At 41.0% G+C, this 24989-nt stretch overlaps 1 long non-coding RNA gene across 2 annotated transcripts in view; it reads left to right on the top strand.

Moving 5' to 3' along the window:
• LOC105369719 (uncharacterized) overlaps positions 1-18934 on the top strand; it is a 39196-nt gene extending 20262 nt beyond the window's left edge. Inside the window, exon 3 of one of the 2 annotated variants that reach the window (XR_001749069.1) lies at positions 17760-18934. This is a non-coding gene — a long non-coding RNA (uncharacterized LOC105369719). Of the gene's footprint in view, positions 1-117; positions 2140-17759 lie in introns of those variants that run through there. The other variant, XR_001749068.2, reaches the window with a different exon arrangement.
• The last annotated feature ends 6055 nt before the right edge of the window (positions 18935-24989 follow it).

The raw sequence follows: 24989 nt of genomic DNA, 5'->3' as shown, positions 1-24989 counted from the left end.
CATCTGATGTTTCTCTGTGTGTCCAAATTTCCTTTTCTTGTAAGAGCATCAATCAGATTGGATTAGGGCCTACTCCAATTGCAATTGTGTAATTTTAACTTAATCACTTGTTTAAAGATCTTATTGTGAATATGGTTACATTATGAGGTGCTGTGAATTAAGTCTTCAACACATGAATTTTTGGGGAACACAATTCAGCCTGCAACAACCCTCATCTGGAGAATACCCTAAATGGACTTCAACAGTCCAGAGTATCTTGTCCTCTTAGGAGAAAACATGTTGGAATGAGAATGAGAAGGACAGGGGAAACTAATATTTGTTGCTGATGAGATTTCCTGTCTACTCACCGTGTGCAAGGGCCTATTCGAAGTTCAACCTCAAAATGAAATACAGGAAGATAAAGGAACTTAGAATATATGGCTAATGAGTGGTAGAGCTAGGATTTTAGGTTTAGAACCTGCATAGAGTGTGCCTCCACCCCCATCTCAGTTAATTGTCACGAATGCCTTGTGAGGGCTTATATCCAGTTTTTCGTTTTAACTGATAACAAATGAGCAAGCATTTATACATAGCACTTTACATAACAGGTACCCTCTTAGGGATTTTACATATGTTAACTCATTTACTCCTCATGATCCTGCCATGAGGCAGATACTGTTGTTCTTATCACCCCATTGAGAGGTTACCAGCAAGGAGGTGGCAGAGGGGGAGTCAAGCCTGGGGAAGTCTGGTTTACAGAGTCCAGACCCTCAGCCACCATACTGACCTTCCTCTTGGGAAGCGGGGTAAGTAATCTGGCCAAGGGCAATGTCACTTTGAAAGGGCGAGACTGGGATTTGTACCTGGCCCCTCTGACTGCAGACTCCAGCCTCCCTTGATGGCTTCACACCACTGTATCTGCCTGCATGTGATCATGTTTCATCCTCTCATCACATACTTGGTGATGCAAACAAGTCTCCTAGCTCTGATTTTAAGAAAAAAGACTCTGATGCTGAAGAAAAAAGGTTTGGGAGAAATTTGCCTTTGTGCAATGTTATTGGATAAACTCTGTTTTTCCTTAGACTCATTAGCTGCATGTTTACAATTTCCAAACACAATTGTCTTAAAAAAAATCAGACTGGTTAAATTTGGAAGGAGGTGGGTGTCTTCAGCAGGCTAGCAGTTGTGTGCAGATTGACATTTTTATATTTATAAAAGTTGTGTCTGCCACCAGGCCTCTAGGAACATTTGCACATTTAAAAATATAAATTAGAAAAATATGTTGACATAATTGTCTGCCCTAAGGAATTTTTCCTTCATCACAGTCTTAATGGAAAAAATTCTCACTTGGCTCTCCCTCCCCAGGCAGAAGTTGGAGTGTGCAGATGAGACTTTCCATATGCTTAGAAGTTAGCAAGAAATGCTTTGCATCAACACGAAGTCATTTCAGATGAGAGTTCCCCATAGGCAGTGACTCTGTCCTTCCTTCTCCTGCTGTTCTCTCATCTCACAGTATCCTACTTTCCCCACCTGCAGGTGTCTATGGCTTTGCCTTGGCATCCCCTTCTTAAACGTCTTCAATGGCTCTTTGACCCCTAAGGCTATGACTGGCCTAATTTAAGACCCCTTGAGGATCTGGATCCTGCGAACTCCCTGGCTTCCTGCCTTTCCTTTCTCCTCCTCATATATCCCATGTGCCCACCACGTTTGTTCCCCTCTGCTCCTGAGCACTGTTGACCTCCTGCTGGTGCCTGGGATCTGCCCTGCCCCAGCCTCTGTTCCCATGCTGGCCATTCCATGAAGACTTGATGGAGCTCCCAGTCAGAAGTGACCTTTCTCGCTTCAAAAAGCCAGTAATGCTTTATCTGTGCCTTTGGGACCCTGCATTACAAAGTCCTCAATGTTATTTTTGCACATTTTTTGACTTCTAACATCTCAAAATCCCAAGGAAGACAAAGGGTCTGAAAAGAAAATAGCCAGTGTGTCCCAAGTAGGCACTCAACAAATGATGGTTGTCCCTCTTTTTTTACTTGGAAAATTTTATCCACATTGCTTGGTTCATAGTTGATGCTTAATAAATATTTGTTAAATGAAAAGGTACATTGAGACAGAACTTAGAAACTTAGAAAAATGAAAATTTTTTAATTGGGATAAAATATACATAATTTACCATCGTAACCATTTTTATGTGTACAATTCAATGACATTAAATGCATTTACATTGTTGTGCTACTATCATAACCATCCATTTCCAGAACATTTTCATCTTGCAAAACTGAAACTCTATACTCATTAGACGAGAACTTCCCTTTCTTCCCTCCCCTCTGCCTCTGGCAACCTGTGCTCTTTCTGTCTCTATGAATCCACCTATTCTAGGTACCTCACATAAGTGGAATCATACAATAGTTCTTCTTTTGCGTCTGGCTTATTTCCACTTAGCATAATGTTTCCAAGGTTCTGCCAGGGCGTAGCATGCATCAGAATTCATTCCATTTTAAGATCAAACAATATTCCATTGTATGTATATACCACATTTTATTTATCCATTCATCTGTTGATGGACACTCGAGTTGTTTCTACATTTTGGCTGCTGTGAATAATACTGCTATGAATATTGGTATACAAGTATCTGAGCCCCTGATTTCAATTTCTGGGGGTATATAACCTAGAAGTGCAGTTGCTGAATCCTCTGATAACTCTGTTTAACTTACTGAAGCACCTGCATACTGTTTTCCATAGTGCCTGCATCCCTGTACATTTCCACCAGCAATGCACGAGGGTCCTAATTCCTCCATATTCTTGCCATCATTTTCCATTTTTTTTTGATAGCCATTGTAATGGGTGTGAGGTGGTATCTCATTGAGGTTTTCTTTAGAGTTCCCCAATAATTAGTGATATTGAACATCTTTTTATGTGCTCATTGGCCATTTGTGAATCTTCTTTGGAGAATGAATTAAACTCTTTAAGTCCTTTGCCCATTTAAATATATTTGTGGTTGTTTTTAGCAATTTGTGTTTTGTTTTAAAACATCTCTGGAGTGTGCTTTTTTGAGCAGGAAGTGTGTGGCTGGATCTGAGGCAAGCACTCTTTTCAACACAGCAGGCAGTGTGATCCTGTGAAAGCCTAAGTCAGATCAAGTCATTTTTCTGCTCAGATCTTCCCAGTGAGGTCCAGGTCACTCAGAGGAAGAGCCAGGGTTCTTGGAGGGGCCTGTAGAGCCCTGCGTGACTCACAGTCCCCCACCGGCTCTGAGCTCCTCTTCAACTTCCTCCTATTCACTCGCATTGGCCAGCCCCAGGGCCTTTGCACTTGCTGTTTTCTCTGCCTGGAGCACACTTCCTCAAGAAACTGATGTAGGGCAGGTGAAGCCCCAAATTGGGGCTTAGTACAGGAGATCTTTTTGGTTTCACTCAGGAAATAATTTAGGGGCAAGCTGGTGGTGTTAGACAGCAACTTGTATTGAAGCGACAGTGCACGGCAACAGCAGAGGTGCTGTTCCTCACAGAGCAGGGCAACCTTCCAGGCAGTGCATCCAGAGGAGCAGCTCTGAGGCAGTTTTGCAGTTATCTTTATATCTACTTTAATTATATGTAAATTAAGGGGCAGATTACAAAGAAATTTCTAGAAATAAGGTGGTAACTTCTGGGTTGTCAGGCGATTGCCATGGAAAGGGGTGATAATTTCTGGGTGTTGCCATGGCAATGGTAAGCTGACATGGCACACTGATGGGCATGTCCTATGGAAAGCTTCTTTCACCCTGCCCCTGTTTTAGCTAGTCCTCAATTTAGTCCAGTGTCTGAGCCCTGCCTCCAGAGTCCAGTCTTGCCTCCTACCTCAAAACCTGTGTGGCTCTCTGCTTCACCACTGTCAAGTCTTTGCTCAAATGTTACCTTCTCATTGAGGCCTTCCTGGACTATTCTATTTAAAATTGCAGCCCTCTACACTCTGCATTTCCCTAACATTCTTAATTTTTCTCCAAAGCACCAATCACCTTCAGTCTGCTCTATAATGTACTTATTGATATTGTGTAGCTGTGCTGTTCCTTCCTCCCCCAAGGGCGTGAGCTCCGTGAGGGCTTTGTTCTGTGTTTTATCCCTAGTCTGGCCCCTCAGATGCTTTTAACAAATATTTATAGACTGAATGAATAAAAGCAATCACATGGCAAATCAATTTCCTTTAATTCTCTCTTAATTATAATAATTCTGTATGCATGCTCGTCTCGCTTATGGCAACCTTGGCTTCCATACACTCCCAATCACATTGACTAACATTGTGGGGGAAATATTTATGTTCATCCACTGTCGACAGTGGGAACACTGTCGACAGTGGATGAACATAAATATTTCCCCCTTTTTGTGTGTCTGGGAAGATAAAAGGTTATGAATTTAAGGAATAGTATAAAGTATAAATAAGAACTTTATGTTTTCACTGGTTTATCATTCACTGTGAGCCCCTTATTTCCCAGGCACAGTGCTAGAAGCTGTCTCTATGAAACCACAGTCATAGCTAGTAAACTTGTAAAGAAATACATACATAATTCAGATAGGGGTAAGTTATATGAAGAAAAAGAAAACAGTGTAGAAGAATGGAGACAATGCGGGTAGGGTGGAGGGTTGTTTACTTTACATAGGATGGTCAGGAAAACTTGAGGAAGGGACACTGGAGCAAAGACCTAGTGATGGGAGGGAGCAAGTCATAGAAATATGGGCAGAAGATACATATATTTTTTAATACAGAGGGAGCACCAAAGGTTTTGAGGCAGCAGTGAGCTTGATGTGTTGGCAAACGTTATCTCATTTGATGATCCAGACAGTTTTAGGCTACCATCTTCAAGGTACAGACAAGGAAGGAGGGCAGAAAGAGGGTATATTAGTCAGGGTTCTCTAGAGGGACAGAACATATATATATATATAGAGTGGAGTTTATTAACTCATACAATCACAAGGTCCCACAATAGGCCATCAGCAAGCTGAGGAGTGAGGGATCCAGTCCAAGTCCCAAAGCTGAAGAACTTGGAGTCCAACGTTCAGGGGCAGGAAGCATGCAGCACAGGAGAAAGATGTAGGCTGGGAGGCCAAGCCAGTCTAGCCTTTTCACGGTTTTTTGCTTGCTTTATATTCTGGCTGTGCTGGCAGCTGATTAGATGTTTCCCATCCAGATTAAGGGTGGGTCTGCCTTTCCCAGCCCACTGACTCAGATGTTAATCTCCTTTGGCAACACCCTCATAGACACAGCTAGGATCAATACTTTGCATCCTTCGATCCAATCAAGTTGACACTCAGTATTAACCATCACAGAGGGGAAGATCTCTGACATAGTTTGGATGTTTGTCCCCACTTAACTCTCATGTTGAAATGTAATTCCCAATGTTGGAGGTGGGGCCTGGTGGGAGGTGTTTGGATTATGGGAGTGGATCCCTCATGAAGGGCTTGGGCCATCCCTTTGGTAATAAATGAGCTTTCACTCTGAGTTTACATGAGATCTGGTCATTTGAAAGTGTGTGGCACCTCTTCCTCCTCTCTCTCTCTCTCTCGCTTGCTCCTGCTTTTGCCATGTGATGTGCCTGTTCCCCCTTTGCCTTCTGCCATGATTGTGAGCTCCCTGAGGGTTCACCAGAAGCTGAGCAGACACCAGCACCATGCTTCCCGTACAGCCTGCAGAACAGTAAGCCAATTAAACCACTTTTCTTTATAAATTACCGAGTCTCAGGTATTTCCTTATAGCAATGCAAGAATGGCATAACACAGTCTCAGTCCCTCCTTCATAAAAGAAGACTAAATCTATGCTTTTGAAAGTGTGAGTCCAAAAAGGGCCACCTAAGAATCACCTGGGAGCTTGTTAGAATCATCTGGCACCACTCAGACCTACTCTGTCTGACCTGGGGAGGTGTGGGAGGAAATCTACCTTTTAATAAGCTCTTCTGGTGATTCTGACACACACTAAAGTTTGAGAAGCACTGGACTAGGCAATTTCAGATGGGCCTTCCAGACCTAATGTTCTGTGACTCGATGATGACATCTGGAAGCATGAAGAACTGGATAGGGGCAGTCCCCAGGTTAGGATGAGAAGGAGAAAAATGTAGAAGGAAGAACAGATTCAATTCCCATTCAGCATCTTCCTTCTCCTATAAGAGACATCCTTTAAATTATTTACAGCCAGGACACCTCCAGGGTGAAGCCAGAGGCCTGTAATCCTTTTAGAAGCTTCTTTAAATGACACATGATTTTTCCACATGGTTGCTGAAGAAGAGATCTCATACCTCAGCACTTTTAATGTAACTTAATTATTAGACATTGCAAAGGTGAACTGTTAAAAGAAAAAGAAAGTGGTATCTGTGAAATCAGGTGTGGCTGGTGGAGTAACCCTAAGACAAGTGCCTTCACACTTCGTGCTTTAGAACGCTTTTTCAGATATGGGTCCTGGTAGTTGAGGGGCACCATGAATTCCATAAAATTGAATGCAAAATGTTGTCTATAGGCATATTTTATAGAGGAAAGTTCCATAGTTTTCATAAAATATTCAAATACATCCACAGTTCAAAATCATTGAGAGCCATTCTGTTAAAAAGGGTAGATATGGAACTCCATTGACCCAGTGTTAAATACAACTTGAGAACCCCAAAATGGATTCTTTTTTTTTTTTTTTTTATGAGATGGAGTTTCACTCTTGTTGCCCAGGCTGGTGTGCAATGGTGCGATCTCCGCTCACTGCAACCTCTGCCTCCCAGGTAGTGATTCTCCTGCCTCAGACTCCTGAGTAGCTGGGATTACAGGTGTGCACCACCACGTCTGGCTAATTTTGTATTTTTAGAAGAGATGGGGTTTCACTATGTTGATCAGGCTGGTCTTGAACTCCTAACCTCAGGTGATCCACCCACCTTGGCCTCCCAAAGTGCTGGGATTACAGGCGTGAGCCACTGCACCCGGCCCCCGAAATGGATTCTTATCTGGCGTTCTAATCCCGGAGCCTGCCTCCTAGGCTGAATCATACATGAAAAAGAACTATTTCTGTGGGTGGGAATTTTTCTCTGTATAAATAACATATAATCTTAGGCCTTAACATCGTAAATATCAGTTCCATACCTGTAGTATTGCTTTGCTTTCACAGGATGGCTTGGGTGTTTTGCTGATCTCCTTCCAGAGCCACCACCTTGCTTCCACAGCCTCTGCTAATTCTACTTAAAGAACAACAATGACAATGACAATGACATTTAGGTGCACAAAGATAAAATATAAATTACTTTGTTTTAAACTCCTTCTTTGATTTTTTTCTTTTTCTTTTTTTTTTAAGTGAATTATCATTTTTATAAGGCGTTTTTAGCAGAATTCTATAGAAAACACACTCTTGTGGTTTCTGGAGTACAGAGAAAAACAGTATGTATTTATTTCTTCATATAAAGATTTTAAGTTTTTCAATTAATTAAAGTCATGAATGTAAATGATTCTTTTTTCTTTTTATACAATGCCCTCCCGCTACTTTATTCCGTTGGTTTCCTTCTTAATTTTTATCTGTTCATGGGGAGGCAGAGTTTTCACCCTAATAAGCCAAGGTTTGTAATTAGCAGTCTTGATGCTGCTGTACAATCATTTAAGGATTCTGTTTTTGGTCTTGGGGTTAAGCCAGGGGTGGAAAAACTATGGCCTGGGGACCAAAGACAGTTGACTGCATTTTTTTTTTTTTTTTTTTTGAGATGGAGTTTTGCTCTTGTTAGCCAGGCTGGAGTGCAATGGTGTGGTCTCAGCTCACTGCAACCTCCACCTCCCGGGTTCAAGTGATTCTCCTACCTCAGCTTTCCGAGTAGCTGGGATTACAGGCATGTGCCACCACACCCAGCTAATTTTGTATTTTTAGTAGAGATGGGGTTTCTCCATGTTGGTCAGGCTGGTCTCGAACTCCCAACCTCAGGTGATCCACCTGCCTCAGCCTCCCATAGTGCTGGGATTACAGGCGTGAGCCACTGCGCCAGGCTACTGCCTATTTTTATGCGGCTCAAAAGTTAAAAATGGCTTTAACATTTTTTAAATGGCTGAAAAAAAATTCTGTGATGTGTGAAAAGTATACACGTTCAAATTTCAGTATTCATAAAAAAAGTTTTATGAACTGTAGCCATGCTCTGGATAGGTGTGGTGGGTCATGACTATAATCCCAACACTTCGTGAGGCTGAGGTTGGCAGATCACCTGAGGTCAGGAGTTCGAGACCAGCCTGGCCAACATTGCGAAACCCCATTTCTACTAAAAATACAAAAATTAGCTGAGCGTGGTGGTGGGCACCTGAAATCCCAGCTACTCAGGAGGCTGAAGCAGGAGAATTACTTGAACCCAGAAGGCGGAGGTTGCAGTGAGCCGAGATCACTCCATTGCACTCCAGCCTGGGCAACGGAGTGAGACTCTGTCTCATTTAAAAAAAAAAAAAAAAAAAAAACCCAGAAAGAAATATAACCATGTTTATTTGTTTATGTATTGTCTATGACTGTTTTCTTGCTACTGGTAGAATTGACTGGTTACAACAGAGATGATACTGCCCATAGTGACTAAATATTTACTATTTGGCCCTTTACAGGAAAAGTTTGCTGACCTTTGCTTTGAATTAGGGAATCCCAGAGGGAGTCTATTGGGAAAGTTTTAATAACCTTTGCTGGCTGACTCAGTTGACTGTCTTTTTTTTTTTCCAGAGATAGAGTCTTACCCAGGCTGGAGTTGCAGTGGTGTGATCAAGGCTCACTGCAGCCTCCACTTCTCAGGCTCAAGTGATCCTCCCACCTCAGCCTCCCAAGTAGCTGAGACTACAGATATGCATCAACATGCCCAGATAATTTTTTTTTTTTTGGTAGAGACAGGAGTCTTATTATGTTGCCCAGGCTGATCTTGAACTCTTGGGCTCAAGAAATCCTCCTGTCAGCCTCCCAAAGTGCTGGGATTACAGGTGTCATCCACCATGCCCAGTCCCAGGTTTCTTTCATTTAGTATCTACACCTGGCGGAATTCACCTATCATTGTATCAATTTCTTCCCAGTTACTGGGAACAGCAGTACAATGACCTCAATCAATGGGGGTTTATTGAAGGACTTGATGGAGAAAGAAAGTCAAGGGAAAAGAAAATCTAATCTCCTGCACCTAAGGACAATAGAAGCCTCATTTACTACCATTCAGAATGCAGTGGCAGGTCAAATAGTCTGGTAGTCATTCTGGTGATCAACCCCAGATTTAAAAGTCACTTTTCTTGGATTCAGTACTTGGATTCTCTTTCTTTCGCTTTTTCTTTCTAATGGATTGCCCAAACCTGGCTCTCCAAGTCATGCCTTCTATTTACCTTTCTACTCTACATTTCTTCATCTTCCTCTCTCTATACACAGACCACACCCTCTGTATTTCTGCCGTTTAAGCACCCCAGGGGAGAGGATACAATTGATTGATGAATTGCTTTCTAATTTAGAAGGCCCTTAGAATTCCCACGAGGGAGGTTCTGAATTTTTTAGAGCATCTTTGGTCAAGAGCCAGATGTGTTTTTCTTTGTTCGTTGGTTTGTTTTTTGGTGAGTTGTGCCCATATTATCAGGGTTACATGATAAAGCCACCTCTGAACACTTATAAAACCCCAAGAAAAGGACTGTGGATAGTGCAACATTCCTCAAAATTGGGCCATATGCCAGTGCTCCAGGAAACCTGGGTTTACAAGAAAAATCCCGGAGAGAATTCTAGGCCAGTGAGTCTTCCACCCTGAGCATAATGTATCGCCTTTCCCTACAGACTTGTTCCATGGTCTGTCCTCATCCTTCTGTCTAGCTCTTCACTACTTGGCAAAGTTTGGTGTTATTTGGAAACTCCCGGGACTTCATTGTGCATTTCTTCCTGAAGCTCACATCCTAAAAGGCTTCACAGTCCTGAAGATTCATAGATTAGGATGTCAAGTTCGGTGTATCAAGCAAACTTCGAAAGATAAGAATCTCTCCCTTTTCCCTTCCCAGCACAGGCACCTGTGCTCCTGGGAGGGTGAGGCAGTTAGCCTCTTTTCCCTCCAGTAACCTCCTTCCAAAACATGGGGAGGGGGGCAGCGAAAGGGAGGCAGGAAGCTCTTACCTGGATGGTACTATCATAAGATGGCTTTGAACTGTCTGGCCTTGGCAGATGTCTAAAACTGATTCTTATGGGTGTCTTCCTGGTTTTTTTGGTTACAACTGTCCCAATACAACTTTTTTGGCATGGGTGATGTGTTCACTTTCTTTTCCACAATTCTCTTCCTTGGCCTTCATTTTTCTGACAGGTTCTTCCGCACAGATGTTCACTGTCGGATTCCCATTGTCCTCTTAGGCAGTAGTCAAAGTGACTCCAGGTCACCCACTTCCTCATGGTTTGCATCTGGTCCCTGGGAAGCATTCTTGCATCCCTTGCCCTGACCAATTTCGAGGCATCAGGCTGCTTTCCACATAGCCCTCCATTCTGGTATGCCAGGCCACTTTGGCTGTCCCTCTTGTGAGTCAGGCACAGTCCCTTTTGCCCTCACCACTGCAAGGAACATAGGAAGTTCTCCAAGTGATCCTGTTGAAGCTTTTAGCCCTAGGTTTGAGCTGAGGGAAGAGCACGCATTCCTCCTCCATAAAGGTGGGAGCCAAAATGCACCAATGTTTTTTCTCCAAAGAAATACATTGAGGGTTTCCTCTGCATCTGTACACTTTCAACTCTTTGAAATTGCCACATTGTTATGGTTTGCCTTGCACTCTGTTAGAATCTGGTAAGTATTATATTTTGGCGCCTCAGTTAAAAATTTTAATTTAACATCTTATTATACTCTTTTACCCTTTCCTTTTTTCTGCTTTGCATCTAAAGCATTTCTCAACCCATAATAAGACTCTCCTCTCTCAACAAACTCCATATTACTCTTCTTTCCCATTGTTTTTGAGGTGGAATCCCATCACAGGCTTGTTAAAAATCTAAATTGTTATGGCACAGTATGTAAGCTACCTTGTACAGTGTCTGGTATGTAGTGAATACTCCATAAATGTTAGTGAAGGTTACTGAAAAGTTAAAAAGTGTTACTGAAAAGTTAACTGCAGTATGGAATCTGAAACCATACTAATAAACTTTTCATACTCTGTTACATTAAAAACCGTTGGTTATTTTGCACTGTGAGTGCCGCTTTCATACATGCATGGATAAAACATCATGCGTTAGCCATTTGGAAAATATCAGTTGACTGAATTGTGCAGATTTTTGCAATGTTAGCACTTTTCATTATTCCAGATAAAAAAATCACATGCATTGATATCACCATCAATCTCACTAAGAGTCTTTAAGCATTGAAAAGCTGATGAATACAAATAAATATGAGGATGAGTGCGATTTTTCCAAAATTCTAATTTTTGCTTGAAAACTAGAATTTTATCATTGGCAATAAACACTGTCAGTGATTTCCTTGGTGACAGGCTTAGTTTGTTTATTTTTGAGAAAGTGTCTGCCAAATATCTCAGTCCAAAAAACCATGTGTTTGTCAGTAGTTCTTTCACATAAAAATTGTGCTCCATGAATACAAGTGGCTGGCTCAGCCAGCAGTTCGGTTATACAAGTACTTTTCCTTAGGACAGCCATTGCTCTTTGCTTTGCAAAAGTGCTTTATGTGTACTTTCCACTTTACCACACAGAATGTTAAAAATATGTATGCTTGAGTTAGAAACTTAACTTCAGTATATAAATAATTTTGACCTTGTGTTCTCCCTAGTTTCAAGGACCCTCAGGGATCCACAGACCACACTTTCATGTTAAGTGAAATAAACCAGGCATAGAAAGACAAGTATGGCATATTCTCACTTATTTGTAGGATCTAAAATCATAGCAACTGAACTCATGGAGACAGAGTAGAAGGATGGTTACCAGAGGCTGGGAAGGCTAGTTGGGGGTGGGAGGGGGGCAGGTAGTGGGGGTAGTGGGGGTGGGGATGGTTAATAGGTACAAAAAATTTAGTTAGAAAGAATGAATAAGACCTACTATTTGATAGCACAACAGAGTGCCTATCATCAGTAGTAATTTAATTGTACACTTTAAAATAATGAAAAGACTATAATCAGATTGTTTGTAACACAAAGGGTAAATGCTTGAGGGGATGGAGACCCTATTTTCCATGAAGTGATTATTACACATTGCATGTCTGTATCGAAACATCTCATGTACCCCATAAACACATATACCTACTATGTACTCACAAAAATTAAAAATGAAAACAGAATTCATGAAAAGTGCCTGGTGGTAAAGAATACAATGACTACTAGTACAGTGTGGTGCCGTGGTCTTGACCCGGTTCATGCTAAGATGCCAGCAATTTTACTCCCATTGCTTCTGTACCATCGCTGCAAATGTCCACACAGTGAAAAAGGCAAATAACCTATTAACCTTTTTATACAAATAGTTTTGACTTTCTGTTTTTTTTAGTCTCAAGTACCCCCAGGGATTTATAGATCACACTTTAAGAACTGCTGATCTTGAACATTCCTCCAATCTTTCTTTTTTTAAATAAATAATCTTCCATAAGATTGACATTTTGGCAAATTCAGGTCACTTCCTTTATAGAATGTCCCACAATTTAAATTTTCTGATTGTTTCATTGTGTTCGGAATTCAAGTTAAACATTTTTGGCGAGAATACTTAGGTGAGATTGTGTGTTTCTTATTCTATTACATTAAGAGGTACATAATGTCAGTGTGTCCTATTATTGGTAGTGTGTGCTACTGTTGCAGAATACAAATCTATTCTACATTAGATTTCTTTACTGGGGTGGTGCTGGAGAGATCTCTTCATAGTAAGGGTAACATTTCACCTTTGAAATTTATAGTACTAATAAATTAATAAATAATTACCTGTGAAATAACACTTGGAGAATATTGATGAATATCCTGTTCTGCAGAATGGTTTTAGTATCCATTGATGATCCTTGCCTAAATCAGTGCTTACATGGGAGACTGAAAAATGGTGATTTTGAATTCTATCATTCCTTTTACAGGAATGTGAAAGGTGTTATTCTGTTATGAAGTTTGAACAGCACTTCATCCCACCCCATTCTCTTTGTAGACTCTTGGGTTCCTTTTAAAAAAATCCAATGAATTAATTTGGTAATTGAGAACACTTTCAAAAATTTGAGTTCAAATTGGTACCTACAATTCAAAAAAAACCTACTGGAAAATTTCTTAGCTTTGGTCTTTCTAAATTTACATATTTGTAGGATAAAACAAATGAGTAAATATATTGATATTACTGGCAACTACAATGAGAACCTTGGTTCCCAAGTACATCAGTATATTTACTCAGCTGTTGCATGCTACAAAGCACACAAAATATATTCAGTTTTCTCATGAAGTTTACTAACTTTGTTCATCATATTCTTTTGTTGTTGTTGTTGTTTTGAGACAGAGCCTTGCTCTGTTGCTCAGGCTGAAGTGCAGTGGTACACTCTCAGCTCACTGCAACCTCCACCTTCTGAGTTCAAGCAATTCTTGTGCCTCAGCCTCTTGAGTAGCTGGGATTACAGGTGCATGCCACCACATCTGGCTAATTTTTGTATTTTCAATAGAGATGGGGTTTCACCATGTTGGCCAGGTTGGTCTCAAACTCCTGACCTCAAGTGATCCGCCTGCCTCAGCCTCCCAAAGTGTTGGGATTATAGGCGTGAGCCACTGCAACTGGCCTGTTTTCATCATATTCTTAACATTTGCTAATTACTGTCCTGAAAAATAGGAATTTATACAAAGAAGAGTTTTAAGAAGTAATTATAAAAAGCAAGGGCAGCAAAAGTTGATTGGTGGGTTGCCATGACAACTGAGCTTCACTTTGCTAGTTTCTTCAGGAAACAAGCCCTCCAGTCTCCCTGAACACTGGGAGCCTGAGGTGGACTCTGACTCCAACAAGTTCAATGAATTGCAGTCATCTTTCACCTTATGGCACTTTACCTTCAAATCCTACCCAACAAAAAGCCCTACAGCTTTTTGCTACTTCCTTATTCTTCCTGCCTGGAGTATAAATTGAGGCTTGAGGAGGGGCAGCCATCTTTGCTACTGTGGGGCAACACACAGACAAGAACCAACATTGTCAGCACAATGGAATAGAAAGAAGGACAATGCTGAGGTCCCTGAGGGCCCACTGAAGTTCTGCTGCCAGGAACAGTCTACCTAGGCTTCTTGTTATGTGAGACAAATACATCCATTTATTTAAAGAATTGTGATTTGGAGTTTTTATCATTATAGAATATATTCCTAAGCTATACAGACGGTATATTAAAAAGTACAAAACTCTATAGTGACACTGCCTGTACTTATGTTGTTGGCAGCTTCAACTAGGAGCTCAGTGTATGATGAGGTGTGTCCCTGACCACATAGAGCCTATATTCTAGTAGGGGAGACAGGCAACACACATTAGCAATTATGTATATGATACACATTTATGTAATGATGAGTGCTATGAAGGTAAATAAAGCAGGCTGTGGGATTGAGAGAAATGGAAAGTAGACTTGTAGACAGGATTGTGATGGAAGTTTTTTCTAAGGAAGGGAAATTTGAGCAGAAACTTGGTGTGGAGAAAGGAACCAGCTAGGTATCTGGGGAAGCGTGTGTCAGTCTGGGATCTACAAGGGCAAAGTCCCTGAGGCTGGGCATGGTTTGCATGTTTGAGGAACAAGAAAAGGTCAGTGTTGTTGGAGCACAGTGCTCACAGGGGAGTGTGGCAGGAGAGGACTTCAGAGATGCAGGGAAGGGCCATATCATGTAAGTCATCTTAAGGTGTTTAGATTTTATTGTAAGCCATTAGAGGGTTTTAAGCAACAAAATGTTATGATCTGACTTGGTTTTTAAAAAGATCACTCTAGTGATAGAGAATAGATTATACTGTGGCAAAGAGTGGAAGCAGAGAGCCCAATTAGGAGGCAATTGCAATAGTCTAGGCAAGAGAGGTGATGTTAGGTTCAATTAGGATGGTGACACTGGGAGTGGTAAGAAGAAGTCAAATTCAAGATCTGTTTAAAGATGAAATGAACATGGGCATGAAATAGAGGAGTCAAGGATGATGCCAAGGTTTATGATTTGAGCAATGGAAAAGATGGAGCTGCTGTCAACTGAGATGTGAAGGCTGCAGGTTTGGGGATGGGAGGAAGACTGGGGTTCCAGGTTTCCTCTTGGACATGTTGAGTTTGAGATGTTAAACGTTCTAGTGGTAGTACCCAAATCTGTAATTTTAGAGAGAGGTCTGAGTTGAAGATAGGGATTTGTAAGTTTTCAGCATATAGATAGTATTTAAAGTCATGGGACTAGAGTAAATCAATAAAAGAATGAGCACAGATGGAGAAGAGAAAGAGGACTAAAACAGCTCTTGCAAGCTTCAAAATAAAGAGGTTAATGAGAAGATATTGAACCAGTAAAGAATATTGGTAATGTTGAGTGAGTGTGGTGGTGTACATCTGTAGTTCCAGCTACTCAGGAGGCTGAGGTGGGAGGATCACTTTGAGCCCAGGAGTTTGAGGCTGCAGTGGGGCTATTAGCAAGACCCTGTCTCTATAAATAATAATAATAAAGTAAAAATAAAGAATCTAAGAAGAAGCAGCCAGTGACATACAACGATGTGGTAGATTTTATCATTGCCCTAATTCTCCACTTCTTACCTGTAGTAGAATTATATGTCCACACCCTTTGTCCCATGACTTGCATGAATCTGACTGGAGTTGGCAGACTGTTTTTTCACCTCATTTAGTACTGGGCTTAGCCATGTGACTTGCTCTCGTGGTGAAATATTGGTGGAATCGACGATGTGCCTGTTCTAAGCCAAGATCTCAAGAAGTGTTGCTTATTTCTGTTCACCTCTCCTGTGCCTCCATAATCTGTAATGAGAATAGCACATTCCAAGAAATTGCTGTCTGCCTAGCCTGGGTCCTAGGATGTAGGGCTATAGAGCAGAACCGGAAGCTAGAGTTCAACCTGGCCCAGCTCAGCCAACCAAGATCAGCTGCGCCACAACCAACCATCAGACCCGTGTGTGAGAAATGGAATGGTGGTCTTTGCAAGCCATTAAGATTTTGGGATTATTTGTTGTGCAATGTTATTGCAGCCCAAACCTAAGGGATAAGAAAGAAAGCTGAGAGAGTATGTGGTCTTAGAAGTTAAGTGAACAAAGTGCTCCAGGGAAGGGTAGTGATGAGCCATTTCAAATACTGCTATTAAATTGATGAAATTTTCAGCTGGGAATTGCCACTGAATTTAGCAGCATGGAAGAATTGGTGACCTTAACTGGAATAGTATCAGAGGACCGGAGATAGGTAGATGGAAAGTCTGGGTGGGTTTGAGAGAGAACAGAAGATGAAGAATTGGAAGCACTGAGTTTAGCAAAATCTTTTTAGGAGTTTTAGTGAAAAGAAATAGAGCAGTAGCTGGCAGAGGAAGTGGGGTCCAGAGAAAGTTTTGTTTTAATTACAGAACAGGAGCAATAGCAGCATGTTTGTATACTGATGGAAGCAATCCAGAAGAGAGCAAAAAATGATGGTGACAATGTCAGAAGTGAAGGGGACATTACTGGAGGGATGTGCTTGAGCAGGCCAAATGCATGGAATCTAGTGCTCTATAAACTTCTTCATGGCAGACTTTTTGTCTCATGAATCTTTATCCACCCCAGTATCTCCCACTGGAGTATGCAGTTTTCCATAAGTAAGAATGAATTTACTTGAGTTGAACATATTTTCAAAAAGACTGGTGAATAGCAGTGTGGTACCAACTTTGTTGGGCCTGAAACCCAATTCAACTGATGACCTGTGCTCAAAATCTGATGCAGACTTCATAAATACTCAGATCAGCACTTTCCTTCTTAATTGCAAGCCCTTCCATTTGGATACCACTTATGAAGGAGTGGCAAATTTCCTTTATATAGAAAAAAAAGAATAATGGGTCAGTAACTGCAGCTTCTTTCCATAAAATTGCAGTGGGACAGATGCCAAACTATTATGATCCTTTAGTTCAAGCAGACTTATTTCCCTCAAAATGGAATTCTTATCTCTTTGCAGAAAGTCTTTATTCCAATAAAAACTCTATTACTAGTATCATCCAGCTCTCTAACAACACTCTGAAATCATTAAGATCTGCAAGTCTGTATCCTACACGTCACCGATGTAGCAATCTTATAAAAACCCACAATATCATTCATTCCTTCAAGCATCTACAAAGATTTCTGGAGTGCTCACCATGTATAAGGAATGCACTGTACAAGCCCTCCAGGTCCCAAGTATTAAATGATAGGGTGATGTAGCTGACTTCTTTCATATCGTCCCTAGAGCCAGACTCCAACCACGAATGTAACACATATTTGCTGACTCAACCCTTCCCCATCCAGTCATCCCATGGCATGGGACAAAAGTGACAAACTTATGGGTGAATGTTCCCAGCTGAAGGAAGAGTGCCAGATTTAGCAACAAACAAACAAATGAAAAATAGAGTACCCTGTTACATTTGAATTTTAGATAAACAATAATTTTTTTTTAAGTATACATATGTCCCAAGTATTGTATGGTTCTGGAGAATCAACTTAGCCTCCTCTTGGTAGCATTCTTCAATTGGTTCACCTCTGCAGGATTTTCCTTTTTTGAACTATCTCACCCATTCAAGAATAGCTGCTCTGGCTCTGTAACATTCCAAGCTTTTGTATTGTGGACATTAATGGCTAAGAAATAGAAATAGATCCCCAGGTTGCAAGTGCAGAGAAGGGTATAAATGAAACCAAGCATAAATGGACACAACATTAATTTTTGTTTCCTCCTCTCTCCCTAGTTGTTCTTTATATCTTCTGCCAAAAAAAATTGCGAATCTCTCATCTCTCAGCACCAAGCTTGTGAGCATGTTTCAGAAAATGTGCCACCCTGAACTCGGAGTGAAAGAGAAGCTTCATTGGTTATGTCACTGCTGATGTGAAAGCAAGGCCTCCATCATAAGGGACATTGGTCTATACCTCTCTTTTCTTGTAATGTCTTTGTCTGGCTTTGGTATCCAGGTAATGCTGACCTCATAGGATGAGTTAAGAAGTGTTCCATCCTTTTCAAATTTTGGAAGAATTTGAAAACGATTAGGATTAGTGATTTAAATGTTTGGTAGAATTCACCTGTGAAGCCATCAGGCCCAAAGCTTTTCTTTGATTTTTGATTTTTGATTACTACTTCAATCTCCTTATTAGTTATAGGCTATTCAGATTTTCTATATCTTCTTGATTCAGTCTCAGTAGGTTTTGGGTTTCTAGGATTTGTCCATTTCATCTAAGTTATTCAATTTGTTGCTGTATAATTATTCATGTTACTGTCTTATACCCCTCTTTACATTTTGTGTAATTGGTAGTAATGTCCCTACTTTCTGATTTTTCTTATTTTTTTAATGTGCTTATAGCTATAAATTTCCTCCTTACTACTGCTTTTGCTGTGTCCCACCTGATGAAGTCCTTCCAGACCCTAACCAATTTTTCAGGGTTTGGGCTACCTGCAAATTTGATTCTAGCCTCTTTTCCAGTGTCAGCAGGACACATGGATTTCCCAACTCTTTAATATATGGTGATTTGCCATGTTCTCCAGCTTGCTTTTGAACACAGTAATGCCAATAATGATCTAACAATGATAATAATAATGAGCATTTGTTGAGGTCATAATCTAGATTATTGTGTTGTGCATTTGTTTTTATTCATCTCTAAGTACTTTCTAATTTCTCTTGTGATTTCTTTGATCCATTGGCTAAGAGTGTGTTATTTAATTTACATACATTTGTGAATTTTCCTGCTTTCCTATTGATTTTGAACCTCATCCTGATAGGAGATGATCCTTTATATGATAGCTATTTTTTTTTAAATCGATTGAGACTTAAGTTGTGACCTAATATGTGATCTATTCTGGAAAATGTCCGATATGCGCTTAAGAAGAATGTGTGTTGTTGTGTCCGGAATTGGTGGGTTCTTGGTCTCACTGACTTCAAGAATGAAGCCGCGGACTCTCGCAGTGAGTGTTACAGCTCTTAAGGTGGCGCGTCTGGAGTCTGTCCCTTCTAATGTTCAGATGTGTTTGGAGTTTCTTCCTTCTGGTGGGTTCGTGGTCTCGCTGGCTCAGGAGTGAAGCTGCAGACCTTCGCGGTGAGTGTTACAGCTCTTAAGGCAGCGCGTCTGGACTTGATCGTTCCTCCCGGTGGGCTCGTGGTCTTGCTGGGCTCAGGAGTGAAGCTGCAGATCTTCGCGGTGAGTGTTACAGCTCATAAAAGCAGCGTGGACCCAAAGAGTGAGCAGTAGCAAGATTTATTGCAAAGAACGAAAGAACAAAGCTTCCACAGTGTGGAAGGGGACCTGAGCGGGTTGCCAATGCTGGCTCAGGCAGCCTGCTTTTATTCTCTTATCTGGCCCCACCCACATCCTGCTGATTGGTAGAGCCGAGTGGCCTGTTTTGTCAGGGCGCTGATTGGTGCATTTACAATCCCTGAGCTAGATACAAAGGTTCTCCACGTCCCCATCAGATTAGTTACATACAGAGTTTCCACACACAGGTTCTCCAAGGCCCTACCAGAGCAGCTAGATACAGAGTGTCGATTGGTGCACTCACAAATCTTGAGCTAAACACAGGGTGCTGATTGGTGTGTTTACAAACCTTGAGCTAGATACAGAGTGCCGATTGGTGTATTTACAATCCTTGAGCTAGACATAAAGGTTCTCCACGTCCTCACCAGAGCAGCTAGATACAGAATGTCGATTGGTGCACTCACAAACCTTGAGCTAAACACAGGGTGCTGATTGGTGTATTTACAATCCCTGAGCTAGATATAAAGACTCTCCACGTCCCCACCAGACTCAGGAGCCCAGCTGGCTTCACCTAGTGGATCCCGCACCCGGGCTGCAGGTGGAGCTGCCTGCCAGTCCTGCGCCGTGTGCTCGCATTCCTCAGCCCTTGGGTGGTCGATGGGACTGGGCACCATGGAGCAGGGGGTGGTGCTCGTCGGGGAGGCTCGGCCGCACAGGAGCCCACAGAGGGGGTGGGAGGCTCAGGCATGGCGGGCTGCAGGTCCCGAGCCCTGCCCCGTGGGAAGGCAGCTAAGGCCCGGCGAGAAATCGAGTGCAGTGCCGGTGGGCCGGCACTGCTGGGGGACCCAGTACACCCTCCGCAGCCACTGGCCCGGGTCCTAAGTCCCCCATTGCCCGGGGCCAGCAGGGCCGGCTGGCTGCTCTGAGTGCGGGGCCCACCAAGCCCAGGCCCACCCGGAACTCCAGCTGGCCCGCAAGTGCCGCACACAGCCCCGGTTCCCGCTCGTGTCTTTCCCTCCACGCCTCCCTGCAAGCTGAGGGAGTGGGCTCCGGTCTTGGCCAGCCCAGAAAGGGGCTCCCACAGTGCAGTGGGGGACTGAAGGGCTCCTCAAATGCCACCAAAGTGGGAGCCCAGGCAGGGGAGGTGCTGAGAGCAAGCGAGGGCTCTGAGGACTGCCAGCACGCTGTCACCTCTCATTGTTACTGGGTAGAGTGTCCTGGATATATCTATTAGATATAGTTGATTTATTGTGTTGTTTAAGTTCTCTTTTTCCTTACTTATCTTCTGTCTGATTGTTCTATCTGTTATTGAGAATGGGGGTACTGAAGTCTCCAAATATTGTAGAGTTGTCTATTTCTTCCTTAAATTCTATCATTTTATCGCCCATATATTCTGATGGACTGTTATTAGGTGCATAAATTTTTATGATTGTTATAGCTTCTTGCTGTAATGAAGCATTTGCTAATGTCCATTGTCTCATAAAATTTTAAATTTAAAGTCCATTTTGTCTGATATTGGTGTAGCCACTTCTGCTCTCTTTGGTTACTATTTGCATGGAATAACGTTTCCCATTCTTTCACATTCAATGTATTTGTGCCGTTGGTTCTAAAGCGAGTCTCTTGTAGACAGCTAAAGTTAGATCATGTTTTCCTACTCATTCTGTTAATCTCTGCCTTTTGATTAGAAAATTTAATTCATTTATATCTAAAGTAATTACTGATAAGATGGAAATTCTGTCATTTTGCTGTTTATTTTCAATATGCCTTATAGCTTTTTGTGCCTCATTTCCTGCATTACTGTTTTTTTAGTTGATTACTGTATTTAGTTGATTTTCTTTGTGGTTACCATGGGGATTACATTTAATATCTACTGTATTCATTTGCAGCTCTGTCCCCTCCCCTTTTAGTTATTGATGTCACCAGATTTCATCTATGTCCATTAGTTATCCAAAAACATAAACTAGTAATTGTTTTTGTAAAATGCATTATCTCCTAAATTATGTAGCGCAGTTACAAATCAACATTACATTAATCTAGATTTCAGATTAATAATTTTTTAAATGTATTAATTTCTTAGATCATGTAGAAAACAAAAAGTGGAGTTACAAATCACTGTTACGATAATACCAGCTTTCATAATTGCCTATGTTTTCCTTTACTGAGATCTTTATTTCTTCATATGGCTTTGAGTTACTGTGTGTTGTCCTTTTATGTCAACCAAGAGAACACCATTTGGGGTTTCTTGCAGGGCAGTATATTGGTAACAAACTCCCTCGGCTTTTGTTTATCTGGGAATGTCTCAATTTCTCCGTCACTTTTGAAGGACAGTTTTTGCCAGATGTAGGATTTTTGGTAGATGGCCCTTTTGATTTAGCCCTTTGAATATATCAGCCAACTGCCTTCTGATCTCCGAAATTTCTGAAGGGAAATCTGTTGATGACCATATTAAAGATCACTTGTATATGATGAGTTACTTCTTTCTCTCTTGCTGCTTTCAAGATTCTCTATCTTTGGCTTTCAACAGTTTAATGTAATAGGTCTCAATTTAGGTGTCTTTGAATTTACCCCACTTGGGGTTTATTGAGTTTATTAGCTGTTTTTTTTTTTTTTGGTGTCTTTCATCAAATTTGGGAAGTTTTAGGCCATTATTCCTTCAAATAATCTTTGTTTCTCTTCTCCTTCTGGAACTCTCACAATGCATATGTTGGTTGTCTTGATGGCATCCCACAGGTCTCTTGGGCTCTGTTCACTTTTCTTTAATCTTTTTTTCCTTCTATTCTTCAGAATTAATGATTTCAAATGTTTAATCTTCCAATTCACTTATTTTTTCTTCTTCCTGATCAAATCTGCCTTTTAATTCCTCTACTGCATTTTTCATTTCAGTTATTGTACTTTTTGGCTCTAGAATACCCTTCTGGCTTCCTTTTAGGTTCTCTATCTCTGTCTCTTTATTGATATTTCCATGTTGTTCATATTTTGTTTCTTTCATTTTCTCTACATTTTAGTTCCTTGAGTATATTTAAGACAGTTGTTTAAAAGTTTGTCTAGTCATTCTGCTATTTGGTCTTTCTCAGAGACAGTTACTGTTGGTTTATTTTTTTCCCTAAATAAATCATAATTTTCTGTTTCTTTGTATAGTTTGTGATTGTTTTCTGTTATTGAAAACTGGACATTTGAGTCTAATAATGTGGTATCTATGGAAATCAGATTCTCCATCTTCTCCAGTGTTTGCTGTTTTTTGTTTTGTTTTGGTTGTTGTAGATTGTCTCTGTGCTGAGGATCAGCTGAGGTGAAAATTTAAGGTCTTCTCAGGTATGCAGTTACTATTAAATGTCCTAGTCCTTAATGCCTGGCTCTCAAAAGGGGAAAAAGAAAAATGAAGTGGGACAAGGGCCCTGGCCCTTTAAAACCCCAGAAAATCACTTCCAGTAGACAAATAGGGGCTTGCAATAATAGGGGGTTTGGGAAGAGTACAAAAATGGCTGGCCACCTCTGTCTTGCACTCTGTTATTAGAAGCAACCGTCAGTAATCCGATCACAGATTCTGATATTTGGGGGACAGGATCCTTATTGCCCTCCTTGCCTTCTGTCCTATAAGCTGCATGCAAGCAATTCTAGGAACCAGTCATGGCTGCCTGCCACAGGGCTGGGAGTGGGGGAGTGGGTAGCCTCTGCTAAACTAAGAGATGAAATTGACCAAAATTAACTGCAATTTACTGCCCAAGGCTTCCTGTGGAAGTTGCAAGCCTTCAGTATGCCATAGAGATCCAAAATTGTTACATCAGGTAGATACTGCCAGTGTGTTTGTTGTCTAGGTAAGAAATGGATTCCTTGTACTTCCTATTCCACCATCTTCCTGGAGTCCTCTGGCTCCATCTGATTTATTTAATTTTCAAGGGCTTGGCTGAGCTGGAGAGAGCTGAGCTGCCAGGTGTTGGAGTAGCTGATTATAAAAGTACTAGTCAAGTCTTTAATCGTTTATTGCTGTAGTATAATCAAGAGTCTAAGCTGGAGAAAGCATGGCCTTCCCGCCACTCCCAACCCGCCACCAACCCCAGTTCTAGTTTTCCCCATGGAAAGGCATGCTGGTTGAGGGTCAGGTGGATTGACAGATTTTACTGATGAGGTGGCCATGAACAGAAGTATCTGTGCTTCAGTGGAGAAGAGATGCTGGGATAAAGGATAGGGGAAGTGCTAGGAGTGGGAAAGTATTGAGTACTGAGTCAGAGAAAAGAAAAATGAATAAAAAATGATTAATCTTTGCTTTTATTAGATAAAGTAAAATACTTCTCAGACCTTCTTGGCTGAAAAACTCATCAAGGTTAGTTTTTCTCTTGAAGAAAAGGGGAAAAGAGAGCAAGTTTATTTACCAGTAAAAGGTCAGGAAAAAATGTATTACATATAAGAAATAGGACAATAGTACTTAAAATAGTACTTTAGTCTTGACATCTGAGTAAAACTGTGAGGAAAATGAGCCAAGTAAACTCTAACAGGCCTTTAGTTTATGTAAATTAGTTCATAATTGCTGTATAATGATACTTCCTGAAAGCCCATATGATTCTATTGTGATCAGTAAAATCATGGTGCCTCATTATTACACTTTTTTTTTTAATAACAGAGGGATTTATGACATCAAACATCCACATGGCACAAAGCAGAGTAAAAACTGCTAATTTCACTTTTAAACATCTATGTTTTTGGTCTTCAAATAATTCAGTGAGTGGCTGGGCATGGTGGTTCATGCCTGTAATCCCAGCACTTTTGGAGGTCAAGGCAAGTGGATTGCTTGAGCTCAAGAGTTCAAGACCAGCCTGGGCAACATGGCAAAACCCTGTCTCTACAAAAAATGCTAAAATTTGTTGAGTGTGGTGGCATACACCTGTAGTCCCAGCTACTTTGGAGACTGTGGTGGGAAAGTAGCTTGAGCCTGGGAGGTGGAGGTTACAGTGAGCCGTGATTGCACAACTGTGCTCCAGCCTGGGCAACAGAACAAGACACTGTCTCAAAAAAAAAAAATTCAATGAGAATATAGGTTTTTAATAATTTAAGAGTGAAGAAATATAGAAAGAGAAAGCACAAAGAGAAAACTCCATTTACATGGAAATGAATTGTGTTTTATATCCTGGTGTTTTGGATGCTACCATGTTCATACAGGCCTGCACTTGGTCTAAATTTAGTTCCATGGCTGCTTTATAGCTCTAAATAAAAAAGAAATATCTTCAAGTTAGGAAAGAAGAACATGTCTTTAACACTACAGGGTTGTGGAAATTACTCTCTTCACACACAAACATTTAAACAGTTGATCCAATAATTATCACTGTTATTTTCCATTATTTCCCAAATAACAGAAAACCAGATACTGTAATTTTCCAAAATGCCATGTGTAAGGACAGGTTGTTGATTTGAAAGTAAAGGAAAATGGAATGTGTAATTTCCCTGCAGAGCTAATCTTGTGGACTCGAAGCGACTGAAGACATCTGCAGGGAATCCAGGGGATTTCTATTATAGTGCATCTTTTCCTGCTGGCCTTGACTGCAAGAAAACTGTTGTTCAGCTCTTATAAAAACTGAGTATAATGGAGATGGTAAAAAAATCATTGTTTCTTCCCATTTTTTAATTGTGGTAAAATACACATAACATACAATTTACCATCTTAACCATTTTTAAGTACATAGTTCAATAGTATTAAGTACATTCATGATGCTGTACAACCATCACCACAATCCATCTCTTTTGTA

Source organism: Homo sapiens, chromosome 12, assembly GCF_000001405.40.
Source record: "Homo sapiens chromosome 12, GRCh38.p14 Primary Assembly".
NCBI classification, from domain to species: domain Eukaryota; kingdom Metazoa; phylum Chordata; class Mammalia; order Primates; family Hominidae; genus Homo; species Homo sapiens.
This window is presented reverse-complemented; position numbering and strand designations above follow the sequence as displayed.